Here is a 14372-nt window from a genome sequence, read left to right as displayed (position 1 = left end):
TATATGTGTGTATATATATAGCTATATATATGTGTGTGTACATATATATTGCTATATATATATGTGTGTGTATATATGTATAGCTACTTAGAGCAACCTGGATGAATCTCATAGTATTGACCAAAAGAAACTAGACTCCAGTGAGCAAATACTGTATAATTTAATTTATATGAAGTTCATGAACTGGCAAAACTAATCTATGGTGACATCAGCCAGACTAGTGGTTGCCTTTTCTAGAGGGGGATATTACCTGGGATACAAGAGAGGCTTCTGAGATGCTGGAAACATTCTGTATCAATCTGAGTGGTGGTTGCATGTATGTATAAACACTTGTAAAAATTTCAATTAAAATTTATTACATGTAAAGTTGTTCCTAACATAAAAGTAAATATATTTTTTTAAAGAACCAGCACAAAATCTATTAAAAATGCTTAATGTGGCCGGACTCAGTGACTCACACCTGTAATCCCAGCACTTTGAGGGGATGAGGCAGGAGGATTGCTTAAGCCCAGGAGTTCAAGACCAGCCTGGGCAGCATAGTGATATCCCATCTCCAAAAGAAAAAAAAAATTGCTTAATCTGTCATAGGGATAAGAAAAAAAAAGCTATAAGAGCTGTGCTATAAATGTTTTAAATCTTGCTCTGGGTCATGGTTACAAAAGTGAATACATAAGTAAAAATTCATCAGGATGTGCTGAATTTAGTATATTTTAGTCACTTTGCTATATGTGTCTTACCCTTCAATTTTTTTTTTTTTTTTTTTTTTGAGATGAAATCTTGCTCTGTCGCTAGGCTGGAGTACAGTGGCACAATTTGGCTCACCACAACCTCCGCCTCCTGGGTTCAAGCGATTCTCCTGCCTCAACCTCCCAAGTAGCTGAGATTACAGGCGTGTGCCACCATGCCCGGCTAATTTTTGTATTTTTAGTAGAGATGGGGTTTCATCATGTTGGCCAGGATGGTCTCAATCTCTTGACCTCATGATCCGCCCACCTCGGCCTCCCAAAGTGTTGGGATTACAGGCATGAGCCACCAAGTCCGGCCCTAAAATAAGCTTTAAAACATACTAGGAGAAAAAAAGGAGTGGGAGAAACAAGGCAAATGAGCATACCAAAGAAAGCAAAATAATGCCACAAAGAAAATGGAAATTTTGGCCACAGATTCTCACATATGTTGAAAGCACTGAAAGACAATTATGTAACGTAGAGATCAAGGAAGGAAAAAAAACAATAAAAAGAGAATAAGTGAGTTGGCAGAGCTTAGGAAATAAGCGGAAGATAAAAACAAAACCACATGGTTTCGTTTTAAAACAGTAAAAACTTGCTGTCAAGTCCCCAGTGAGGTGGTAGGTTTGGGGAATCTGCAGACAGGAAGGCCATTCTCTAACTGGATGCAGTAGCATAGGCCTGTGGTCCCAGCTATTTGGGAGGCTGAGGCAGGAGGATCACTTGGGTCCAGGAGTTTAAGTCCAGTCTGGGTAACATAATGAGACCTTGTCTCTAAAAAAGAATTTTTTTTAATTAAAAAATATAGGCCAGGCGTGGTGGCTCACACCTATAATCCCAGCACTTTGGGAGGCCAAGGCAGGAGGATCACTTGCCTGGGCAACATGGTGAAACCACAACTCTACTAAAAATACAAAAATTAGTTGGGTGTGGTGGCACACGGCCTATAGTCTCAGCTACTCAGGAGGCTGAGGTGGGAGGATCGCTTGAACCTGGAAGCTGGAGGTTACCGTGAGCCGAGATCGCACCATGGCACTTCAGCCTGGGGGACAGAGAGACTCCATCTCAAAAAAGATTTTTGTAAAAAGTATATGTACACTAAAGAAAAAAAATGAAGGCCATTCTCTAAATGTCCAAATCTAAAAAAGGAAGTTACTCAATATCCAAAGATCTTTTCAGACCAATTCCTGGAGCAATGTGAAGGAATTGCAGCTGAGAATTTCTGTCAGGCTTATATTTAACAATCCCTTACCTTTATTTACATGGCACTTAAAAATGGACATGATCGGCCAGGCGCGGTGCCTCATGCCTGTAATCACAGCACTTTGGGAGGCCTTGGGAGGCCGAGGCAGGCAGATCACTTGAGGTCAGGAGTTCGAGACCAGCCTGGCCAACATGGTGAAACCCCATCATTACTAAAAACACAAAAATTAGCCAGGTGTGGTGGCGGGCACCTGTAATCCCAGCTACTTGGGACGCTGAGGCAGGGAGAATCGCTTGAACCCAGGAGGCGGAGGTTGCAGTGAGCCGAGATGGCACCATTGCACTCCAGCATGGCCAACAGTGAGACTCCGTCTCAAAAAAAAAAAAAAAAAAAGTACATGATCTTATTTGATTATTTGATGCCCATAGCAACCTTCAATAAATATTTTTGAGCAAGTACTGTGGCAGGTCATTTGTGCTTAGAACTCGAAGGCACCCTTTATTGTTTTTCCCCATCTTGGCTTTGACACTATAGACTTTACCAATTAGGGCTCCTTTGGTTGCAAGTGCCAAAAGCCAGCTTGACTGGCACAAGAATAAAAAGGGAATTACCTCATGTACATGTACTGGAGAACAGCCCAAGGCTGATATAACGGTAGCTCTAGCTCTCTAGCTGGTAGGTCCAACAGCCAGAGCCAAGTGCTCTATGTTGCCAAGAATCTGCCTCCATTTGTCAGCTTCACTTTTTTTGCTGCTGGTGCTGGCACTGGCTTCATTCTTCGTCTTCTGGCACTGGCTTCATTCTTCTTCTTTTTTTTTTTTATTTTTATTTTTTGAGATAGAGTCTCGCTCAGATACCCAGGCTGGAGTGATTGCAGTAGTGCAATCTTGGCTCACTGCAACTTCTGCCTCCCAGGTTCAAGCGATTCTCCTGCCTCAGCCTCCCAAGTAGCTGGGATTACAAGTGCCTGCCACCACACCCGGCTAATTTTTTGTATTTTTAGTAGAGACGGGGTTTCGCCATGTTGGCCAGGCTGGTATCGAACTCCTGACCTCGAGTGATCCACCTGCCTCGGCCTCCCAAAGTGGTGGGATTACAGGCGTGAGCCACAGCGCCTGGCGGGTACTGGCTTCATTCTTGAGAAGGCCATCCTCTCAACAGTGAGAAGATACTCACTAGCAGCTCCAGGAGTTTTTAATAACTCCACTCCCTCTCAAAAAAAAAAAAAAAAAAGAGAAAGAGAGAAAGAAAAAAAGCTTCTCTTTCTCAATTTCAACAAATGTCTGAAGACCTATTCTAAGTTGGTCCAGTTTAGGATATTCCACAGCAGATGCAAAAGCATAATGGAAGGCCTGGAAGCAAGTTAGAGCTTAAAAATTGGAGTAGCAAGAGATCTGTCTAGCAGGGCAGGCAGAGGCCACACCACCAAGTGCATTATGTCTTCTTAAGGAATTACTGGATCCTGTAGGCAAAGCGGTTTAAGGAACAATGTCATCTGCTCCATCTCAATTCGGTTGCATCAATATGAACATTGATCCCCATCCAAACTCTTACTCTAAACTGGAGGAAGTGGAAAATAAAGAACAATTCTTGGCCAGGCGTAGTGGCTCACACCTGTAATCCCAGCACTTTGGGAGGCCGAGGCAGGTGGATCACCTGAGGTCAGCAGTTCGAGACCACCCTGGCCAACATGGTGAAACCCTGTCTATATTAAAAATCCCAAAAATTAGCCGGGTGTGGTGGCGGGCGCCTGTAATCCCAGCTACTCGGGAGGCTGAGGCAGGAGAATCACTTGAACCTGGGAGGTGGAGGTTGCAGTGAACCAAGATCGCACCACTGCACTCCAGCCTGGGCAACAAGAGCAAAAATCCATCTAAAAAAAAAATAGAATGATTCTTATGAGAGCATTTTTGAAATGGCACAATGTGGAAGAGAGAATCTTCTCTTCCATAAAAGCAATGAGAATACTGTCAAAAATTGCCAAAATCAACATTCTGGGAATGAAGCAAAGGCTTCCAACAATCCCAGGAGAGTTTATTCAAGAAAAATGACAACCTCAGTAAGAACGGCAAGACTTGTAGCATTTAACGCCCTATTCCCATCCCCCTCCTCCCAGCTCCATGGTAGCCTTAAAAACCAAAAGACTCAAAACTGGTGTCAGGGACCAGTGCGGTAGCTCATGCCTGTAATCCCAGCCCTTTGGAAGGCTGAGGCAGGCGGATCTCTTGAGCTCAAGAGTTTGAGACCAGCCTGGGCAACACAGTGAAACCCCATCTCTACTAAAAATACAAAAATTAGCTGGGTATGCAGGTGCACACCTGTATTCCTAGCTACTCAGGAGGCTGAGGCATGAGACTCACTTGAACTGGGAGGCGGAGGTTGCAGTGAGCCGAGATCTTTCCACTGCACTCCAGCCCGGGTGACAGAGCAAGAGTTGGTTTCAAAAAAACTAAGAAAGAAAAAAAAATAACTTCAAAAGAAAAAAGCTGGGGAATGAATTGTCTATAGAGGCCTTTAAAAAGTTTTGAGTGGCTCACACCTAAAATCCCGACATTTTGGGAGACAAAGGCAGGAGGATCACTTGAGCCCATGAGGTCAAAGCTGCAGTGAGCCATGATAATGCCACTGCACTCAAGCCTGGATGACAGAGTGAGATCCTGTCTCAATAAGTAAGGACCAGGCGCAGTGGCTCACAACTGTAATCCCAGTGCTTTGAGAAGCCAAGGCAGGCAGATACTTGAGGTCAGGAGTTCAAGACCAGCCTGGCCAACATGGTGAAAGCCAGTCTCTATGAAAAAATGCAAAAAAATTAGCTGGGCATGATGGCGCACACCTGTAGTCCCAGCTACTCGGGAGGCTGAGGTGGGAGAATTGCTTGAACCGGGAGGGGGATATTGCAGTGAGCCAAGATTGTGCCACTGCACTCCAGGCTGGGCAACAGAGTGAGACTCTGTCTCAAAAAAAAAAAAAAAGAAGTAAGTAAGTAAAAGTTTGTCATTCTCCTGGAAAACTAGAAAACCATGAACAGGCACAGGCTGTGCACATGTCCAGGTAAGATCTAAGAACATCCTAATCTCTCACTTCTGGCTGGCCTTGAGGCTCTGTGCAAGCAGAAAGTGAAGTCCAGGACAGAGGGATAAACTGCCAACCAGAGAATTAAAATCAAACGGGCTGGGATACTTACTGGTTCAAGGCATTTAAGGAAATCTATCAAATTCACTAAACTAACTCAGAGGAGACTTCAGTGGCCACACACAGCAAAGAATACAGACTTTAAAGAATTAGTCCAGGAAGGTCACTACAGAAAAGGTAGCAGCAACAAACTCCAATTTTTGGATTTCCATATTATATTATTTTTCAATGTCTAGTCTTCAAAAACATTATGAAAAATGTAAAGAAATGGGAAAGTATGGTCCATACATAGGGAAAAAAGCAGTCAATAGAAACTGTCCCTGAGGAAGCCCAAGCCCAGGCATTAGACTTACTAGACAAAGACTTGGAATCACATAGGCAAAGAGTGAAAGGAAATTATGTCTGAACAACTACAGAAAAGTATGAGAACAGCGTCCTGTCATATAGAGACTATCAATGAATAGATATTATTAAAAAGACCCAAATAGAAATTCTGGAGTTAAAAAGTACAGTAATAACTGAAATTAAAAATTTAATACAAGGGCTCAATAGTAAATTTGTGCTGACAGAAGAATCACTGAACATGAGGATACATCAATTGAGATTATCCGGCCTATGGAAGAGAAAGAAAAAAAATGAAGAAAAATGAGGGCTGGCTGTACCTGTAATCCCAGCACTTTGGGAGGCTGAGGAGGGCAGATCACTTGAAGCCAGGAGTTCCACACCAGCCTGGCCAACAAGGTGAAACCCCGTCTCTACTAAAAATATGGAAATTAGTCGAGCATGGTGGCATGTGCCTGTAATCCCAGCTACTCAGGAGGCTGAGACATGAGAATCACTTGAACCCAGGAGAGGGAGGTTGCAGTAAGCCAAGATCACAACACTGCACTCCGGCCTCGGTGACTGAACCAGACTGTCTCAAAAAAAAAGAATGAAGAAAAATGAACAGAATTTCAGAGACCTGTGAGACACCATCAGGCATACCAACATATACATAATGGCTGTCTCAAGAGAGCGAGAAGGGAGCAGAAAGAATATTTGAAGAAATAATGATGGAAAACTTTCCAAAGTTGAGAAAAACATTATCTACACATCCAAGAAACTCTAAGATAATCTTTTTTTATCTTTTTTTTTTTCCTTGAGACGGAGTCTCACTTTGTTGCCCAGGCTGGAGTGCAGTGGCGCAATCTCGGCTCACTGCAAGCTCCGCCTCCCAGGTTCACGCCATTCTCCTGCCTCAGCCTCCCGAGTAGCTGGGACTACAGGCGCCCGCCACCACGCCCAGCTAATTTTTTGTATTTTTAGTAGAGACGGGGTTTCACCATGTTAGCCAGGATGGTCTCGATCTCCTGACCTCGTGATCCGCCCACCTTGGCCTCCCAAAGTGCTGGGATTATAGGCGTGAGCCACCGCGCCCGGCCTAAGATAATCTTAAAGAGATCCATACCTAGAAACATCATAAACTATCCAAAGTCAAAGAGAGAAATTTGAAAGCAGCAAGAGAAGGAACACATACCGGGCTCCTCAGTGAGCTTAACAACTGGTTTCTCATCAGAAACCATGGAGGCCGGAGGCAGTGAGGAGACACATGCAAAGTGCTCAAAGAAAAAGACCATAAATTAAGAATTCTGCATCCAGCAAAACTATCCTTCAAAAACAGAGAAATTAAGACATTCCCAGATGAAAACAGAGAAAATTGTTGCTAGCAGATCTGTCCTATAAGAAATATTCAAGGAAATCCTTAAGGCTGAAATAACAGGACACTAGACAGTAATTTGAATGAAGAAATAAAGAGCACCAGTAAAAGTAACTACATAGTAAATATTAAAAGTAGTACAAATGCATTTTTTTGTGTATAACACTTTTCTTGTGTTCCCTACTTATTTTTTATTTTTTAAAACACAGTCTTGCTCTGTCCCCCAGGCTGGAGTACAGTGGTGCAACCTCAGCTCACTACAACCTCTGCCTCCGAGGCTCAGCAGTTCTCCCGCCTCAGCCTCTCCAGTAGCTGGGACTACAGGTGCACACCCCCATACCCAGCTAATTTTTTTTTTTTTTTTTGGTAGAGATGGGGTTTCACCTTGTTGCCCTGGCTGATCTCAAACTCCTGGGCTTAAGTGATCCACTCATATCCACCTCTCAAAGTGCTGGGATGACAGGCATGAGCCATCACACCTGGCCATGCTCTCTCATTTAAAAGGCAACTGCATAAAGTAAGAATTATAAAACTATGTTGATGGAGCCAAGCTCAGTGGCTCATGCCTGTAATCCCAGCACTTTGGGAGGCCAAGGTGGGCAGATAATTTGAGGTCAGGAGTTTGAGAGCAGCCTGGCCAACATGGTGAAACCCTGTCTCTACTAAAAATACAAAAATTAGGTATTTTTAGTGGTAATGCATGCCTGTAGTCCCAGCTACTCAGGAGGCTGAGGTGGGAGAATAGCTTGAACCCGGGAGACAGAGGTTGCAGTGAGTCAGCATTGTGCCACTGCACTCCAGCCTGCATGACAGAGTGAGACCCTCTGTCAGAAAAAGAATTTTTTTAATTTAACAGTAAAACTATGTTGATGGGTTTATAATGTATATAAACTCTTGTCATACTGAAGTAACATATAGGGGAAGAGAACAAAAGGATATAGAAGCAAAGATTTGGAACCAAGTGAATTAAATTGGTATTAATTCTAACTAGATTGTTGTACTAACATTAATTATAATCCACAGGGCAACCACTAAGAAAATCACTCAAAACTGTATATAGTAAATGTCTTAGTCCATTTTGAGTTGCTGTAACAGAATACCACAGACTGGAGAATTTATAAGCAATAGAAGTTTATTTGGCTCATGGTTCTAGAGACTGGGAAGTCCAAGAGCATGGTGCTGCCATCTGGTGAGGGCCTTCATGCTGAGTCATCCCATGGCAGAAGGTGGAACACTTATTTTTATTTTTATTTTTATTTTTATTTTAAGACAGGATCTCGCTCTGTCATTCAGGCTGGAGTACAGTGGCAGGATCATAGTTCACTGCAGCCTCAAACTCCTGAACTCAAGCAATCCTCCTGCCTCAGCTTCCTGAATAGTTGGGACTACAGGCATGAGACAGCATGCCTGGCTACTTTTTCTTTTCTGTAGAGACAGCTATGTTCACTGGGCTGGTCTTGAACTCCTGGCCTCAAGTGAGGCCTACCTCAGCCTCCCAAAGTGCTAAAAATCACAGGTGTGAGCCACCGTCCGCAGTCCAGAACTTGCTTCAGTAATAAGCCCAATCTCATGATAACTAACCCACTCCCACAATAATGATATTAGTCCATTCATCAGGGCAGAGCGCTCATGACCTAATCACCTCTTATGTGGCCTCACCTCCCAACACTGTTGCATTAGGTATTAAGTTTCTGACACATGAATTTTGGGGGACATATTCAAATGATAAAAGTAAAATATCACAAGGGAATAAAATGATAGACTAGAAAATATGTACTTAACACAAAATAAGACAATAATGGAGGAACAGAGGAATAACAACAACAACAACCAAAAGACATATAGAAAACAAACAGCACGATGGCAGATGTAAAGCCTACCTTACTAGTAATTACATTAAATGTAAATGAATTAAACACTACAATTAAAAGACAGATACTAGCAGAAGGGATTTTTTTATTTAAAAGATCCAACTACATGCTGTTGACAAAAGACAATCTTTTTTTTTTTTTTTTTTTTTTGAGATGGGGTCTTGCTCTGTCACCCAGGCTGGAGTGCAGTGGCGTGAGCACAACTCATTCCAGTCTCAAACTTCCTGGGCTCAAGCAATGCTCCCATCTCATCTTCCTGAGTAGTTGGGACCACAGGCATGTGCCACCACACCTGGCTAATTTTTTTAATTTTTAGTAGAAATGAGATGTCACTATGTTGCCCAGGCTGGTCTCAAACTACTGAGTTCAACAATCCTCCTGCCTCAGCCTCCAAAAGTGATTGGATTATGGGCATGAGCCACTGCTCCCAGCCTCATACTTTCAAGAATGGATATAACAACTAGGCAGAAGGTCAACAAGAAAAGAGAAGGCTTCAACGATACCATAAATCAACCAGCTACACCTAATAGACAATCTATAGAACACTTGACCCAACAAGAGCAGAATATGCAGTCTTCTCAAATGCACATGGAACATTCTCCAGAGTAGCCCATACATTAGGCCATAAAACAAGCCTCCATAAACATAAAAGGACTGAAATCACACAAAGTATGTTCTCCGACCACAGTGGAATGAAACTAGGAATCAATCACAAAAGGAAATTTGGGAAATTTATAAATACATGGATGTTGAACAATATACTACTGAATAGCATCAGTTAAAGAAGAAATCACAAGGGAAAATAGAAAATATTTTAATGAAAATGAAAACACATATCAAATCTTCTGGGAAGTAGTTAAAGCAGTGCGTAGCTATAAATGCCTGTGTTAAAAAAAGAAGAAAGATGTTGGCCAGGTGCGTTGGCTCATGCCTGTAATCCAAGCAGTTTGGGAGGCCAAGGCAGGTGGATCACCTGAGGTCAGGAATTCGAGACCAGTCTGGCCAGCGTGGTAAAACCCCATCTCTACTAAAAATACAAAAAATTACCAGGCGTGGTGGCACGTGCCTGTAATCCCAGCTACATGGGAGGCTGAGGCAGGAGAATCACTTCAACCCAGGAGGCAGAGGTTGCAGCGAGCCGAGATCGCACTACTGCACTCCAGCCTGTGCGACAAAGCGAGACTCCGTCAAAAAAAAAAAAAGAAAGAAGAAAGATCTTAATTCAATAACCTAATGTTCCATCTTAAGAAACTGTAAATAAAAGATCAAATTAAACCCAAAGCAAGCAGAAGAAAAGAAAATAATAAAAACTAGAGCTAAAATACAGGAAACACAATAGAAAAATAGAGAAAATCAACAAAATAAAAAAATTGTTTCTTTTTAAGAATCAATACAACTGACAAAGCTTTAACTACACTGACCAAGAAAGAGAAGACTCATATTGCTAAAATCAGGAATGAAATAAAAGCCATTAATACTGCCCTTATAGAAATAAAAAGGATTATAAGAGAATACTATGAAAAATATATGCCAACAAGCCAGATAACCTACATTAAATGGACAAATTCCTAGAAAAACACTAACCCAAACTGGCTAGGCGTGGTGGCTCACACCTGTAATCCCAGCACTTTGGGAGGCCAAGGCGGGCAGATCACTTGAGGTCAGGAGTTCGACACCAGCCTGGCCAACATGGCAAAATTCCATCTTTACCAGAAATACAGAAAATTAGCCAGGTGTGGTGGCACATGCCTGTGGTCCCAGCTACTTGGGAGGTGGGAGGATCACTTGAGCTCAGGAGGCAAAGGTTGCAGTTAGCCAAGATCGTGCCACTGCACTCCAGCCTGGGTGACAGAGTGAGACCCCATCTCAAAGAAAAACACTACCAAAACTGACTCAAAGAGAAATAGAAAATTTGAATAGACTTACAATTAAGAGATTGAATGAAGAATCCAAAGACTTCCCACCAAGAAAAACTGAGGATTTGACAGCTTCACATAGACTACACCATCACCAAGAAATATTAATCCCAGGAATGCAAAATTGATTCAACATAGGAAAATCAATGTACATACCACATCGATAAAATAAAGTAGAAACATCACATAATCATCTCAATAGAAGCAGAAAAAAAACCCCACCATTTGACAAAATCCAACACCCATTCATGATAAAAAACACTCAACACACTAGGAATACACAGGAAATTCCTACCCTGATAAAAGGCATCTACAAATAATCCACAGGCAACATCATACTTAATAATGAACCGCTGAATGATTGTCTCCTGAAACAAGGAACAAAACAAGGATGTCCACTCTCATCACTTCATTCAACATTGTACTGGAGGTTCTGGTACAGTCAAGGCTAGAAAATAAAAGGAATCCAGATTAGAAAGGAAGATATAAAATTATCTCTATTTACAGGTTTTATAATCTTATGTTGAAGATTCCACTAATAAAACTATTAGAGCTAGTAAATAAGTTCAACAGAATTGTAGGGTGTAAGATCAATATACAAAACAGTTGTAGGAGTAGCACAGTGTCTCACACCTGTATTCCTAGCACTTTGGGAGGCTGAGGTGGAAGGATTGCCTGAGCCCAGGAATTCAAGACTAGCCTGGACAACACAGCAAGACCCTGTCTTTGCAAAAAATTTAAAAATTAGCTGGACATGGTGGCACACATCTGCAGTCCTGGCTACTTGGGAGACTGAGGTGGGAGGATCACTTGAGCCCAGGATTTTGTGCTGAGCAGCAGCCTGGGCAACAGAGCAAGGCCCTGTCTCTAAAATGATAATAATAATAATAACAAAATACTTTTTTTTTCTGAGACAGAGTCTTGCTCTGTCACCCAGGCTAGGGTGCAGTGGTGCAATCTCGGCTTACTGCAACCTCCACCTCCCAGGTTCAAGCAGTTCTCCTACCTCAGCCTCCCGACTAGCTGGGACTACAGGCGCATGCCACCACACCTGGCTAATTTTTTTGTATTTTTAGTAGAGACAGGGTTTCACCGTGTTAGCCAGGATGGTCTAGATCCCCTGACATCGTGATCCACCCGCCTCAGCCTCCCAAAGTGCTGGGATTACAGGCGTGAGCCACCGCACCCGGCCAATAAAATAATTTTTAAAAGGTTAAACATAGAGTTACCATCTGATCCATCAATTCCACTTCTACATGTATACCCAAGAGAAATGAAAACATATGTCCACACAAAAACTAGTCCATGAGGGAGGCCGAGGTAGGCGGATCACCCAAGGTCAGGAGCTCGATACCAGCCTGGCCAACATGATGAAACCCCATTTCTACTAAAAATACAAAATTAGTTGGGCGTGGGGGTGGGCACCTGTAATCCCAGCTACTCGGGAGGCTGAGGCAGGAGAATCGCTTGAACCCAGGAGGCAGAGGTTACAGTGAGCCAAGATCATGCCATTGCACTCCAACCTGGGCAAAAAGAGCGAAATTCCATCTCAAATAAAACAACCTTGTACATGAATGTTCACAGCACCATTATTCACAGTAGCCAAAAAGAAAAAATAACACAAATATCAACTACTGAACAGATAAAAAAATGTGGTGTAATGAGAAAAACACTGAATTGTACGAAAAACCTTCCCCCAAACTTGGAGGCAGTTGAGAGACCAGAGAATGACTCAGGCAAGTCCAGCTTGGCGAGTAGATGAGTTTGAGGACTTACATACGGGACACTCCTTGACAGCAGCAGGACAGTGCTAGAGATCCGCGCCACCTCCCATCTCTAAGCCATTTTTAAGCTAATTTTCTAGCTCTTTGCCTACTGCGTGTATGCAGTGGGACTGTTTTCCTTGGTAGATTCTCAGATCCTCTCCAGGATGTTTGAGTTCTCAGGAATATCTGCTCCTAGGCTGGGCACCATGGCCTTGGCTCACCACCCAGCATTCAGGATTCAAGCAGTGGATATACACCTCCAAGTAACCTGATGGGGGACCTGCCACACTACATGTGGTATAGCCATACAACAGAACATTATTCAGCAATAAAAATGAATGAAATACTGGTTCATGTTCCAACTAGGATGAGCACTGAAAACAGTATGCTCAGTGAAAGAAGCAGACAGAACAGGTCACATATTGTGTGACTCAATTTATATGAAAGGTCAAGAATAGGCAAACCCACAGAAGCAAAGAGTAGATTCAGAGTTGCCAGGGGCTTGGTGGAGGGGGAGATGGGAAGTGACTGCTAATGGGTTCAGGATTTTAGTAGGGGAGGGTGATCACAATATTCTGAAATTAGATAGTGGTCATCATTGCACAACTCTGAAGAAACTAAAATGCACCTTATTGGACTCTTTCAAAGGGTGGATTTTATGGCATACGAATATCTCAACAAAACTATTCTTATTTTTTAAATTTTTTTTTCCAAGGCAGAGTCTCACTCTGTTGCCCAAGTTGGAGTGCAGTGGCGCAATCTCGGCTCACTGCAGCCTCCACCTCCCAGGTTCAAGTGATTCTCGTGACTCAGCCTCCTGAGTAACAGGGATTACAGACATGCACCACCACACCCAGCTAATTTTTGTATTTTTAGTAGAGACAAGAGTTTCACCATGTTGGCCAGACTGGTCTCGAACTCCTGACCTCAAATGATCTGCCTGCCTCAGCCTCCCAAAGTACTGGGATTACAGGCATGAGCCACCATGCCTGGCCTCAATAAAGCTATGTTAAAAAAAAAAAGGCAGACAATTCAAATGTCCTTCAAAGAGTGATGGGTAAGTAAACTGTGGTACATACATACCACTGAATACTACTCAGCAATAAAACCTATCTGTGTTGACGTATATAGCTTAGATGAATCTCTTCTAGGGAATTTTACTGAGTTAAAAAAAAAAAGGCAATCTTAGAAAATTACAGACTGTGTGGTCTATGAACTGAATGTTTGTGTTCATCCCAAACTGATATGTGGAAACCCTAATCCCCAACGTGATAGTATTTGGAGACGTGCCTTTGGGAGGTAATTAGGTAATTAAAGCCCTCATGATGGGATTAGTACTATTTTTTTTTTTTTTGAGACAGAGTCTTACTCTGTCACCCAGGCTGGAATGCAGTGGCACGATCTCGGCTCACTGAAACCTCTGCCTCCTGGGTTCAAGCAATTCTCCTGCCTCAGCCTCCTGAGTAGCTGGATTACAGGCGCATGCCACCACACCCAGCTAATTTGTTTTGTATTTTTAGTAGAGATGGGGTTTCACCATGTTGGTCAGGCTGGTCTTGAACTCCTGACCTCATGATCTACCTGCCTCGGCCTCCCAAAGTGCTGGAATTACAGGCGTGAGCCACCACACCCAGCCGCAGGATTAGTTCACTTATAAGAAGAAACAAGACCAGGCATGGTGGCTCATGCCTGTAATCCAAGCACTTGGGGAGACTGAGACAGGAGGTTCACTTGAGCCCAGGAGTTTGAGGCCATTCTGGGCAACATAGGAAGACCTTGTCTCTATAAAAAATGAAAAGTTAGCTAGGCATGATGGCACGCATGCCTGTAGTCTCAACTATTTGGGAGGCTGAAGCGGGAGGACTAGTGGAGCCTGGGAGATGGCGACTGCAGTGAGCTGTGATTGCGCCACTGCCCTCCAGCCTGGGCAACAGAGACCGTGTCTCTAAAAATAATAATAATAATAAAATAAATAAAAATAAGAGAGAGTTTACTTTCCCTCTCTGCTTTCCGCAATGTGAGGACACAGCAGGAAGATGGCCATCTGAAAACTATGAAGATG

General features: G+C 42.9%; 2 annotated features.

Moving 5' to 3' along the window:
- Window positions 332-560: a silencer, noted in NCBI's record as "fragment chr16:58733934-58734162 (GRCh37/hg19 assembly coordinates)". NCBI's record gives its function as "represses an EF-1alpha promoter that drives an FKBP-Casp9 reporter gene in an ReSE screen in K562 erythroleukemia cells {active_cell/tissue: K562}" and the evidence as "EXISTENCE:reporter gene assay evidence [ECO:0000049][PMID:32094911]".
- Window positions 2088-2254: a silencer, noted in NCBI's record as "fragment chr16:58732240-58732406 (GRCh37/hg19 assembly coordinates)". NCBI's record gives its function as "represses an EF-1alpha promoter that drives an FKBP-Casp9 reporter gene in an ReSE screen in K562 erythroleukemia cells {active_cell/tissue: K562}" and the evidence as "EXISTENCE:reporter gene assay evidence [ECO:0000049][PMID:32094911]".

Source organism: Homo sapiens, chromosome 16 (assembly GCF_000001405.40).
Source record: "Homo sapiens chromosome 16, GRCh38.p14 Primary Assembly".
In the NCBI taxonomy this organism is placed as follows: domain Eukaryota; kingdom Metazoa; phylum Chordata; class Mammalia; order Primates; family Hominidae; genus Homo; species Homo sapiens.
Note: the sequence above shows the minus strand (reverse complement) of the source record. Positions and strands in the feature narration are given on the sequence as shown.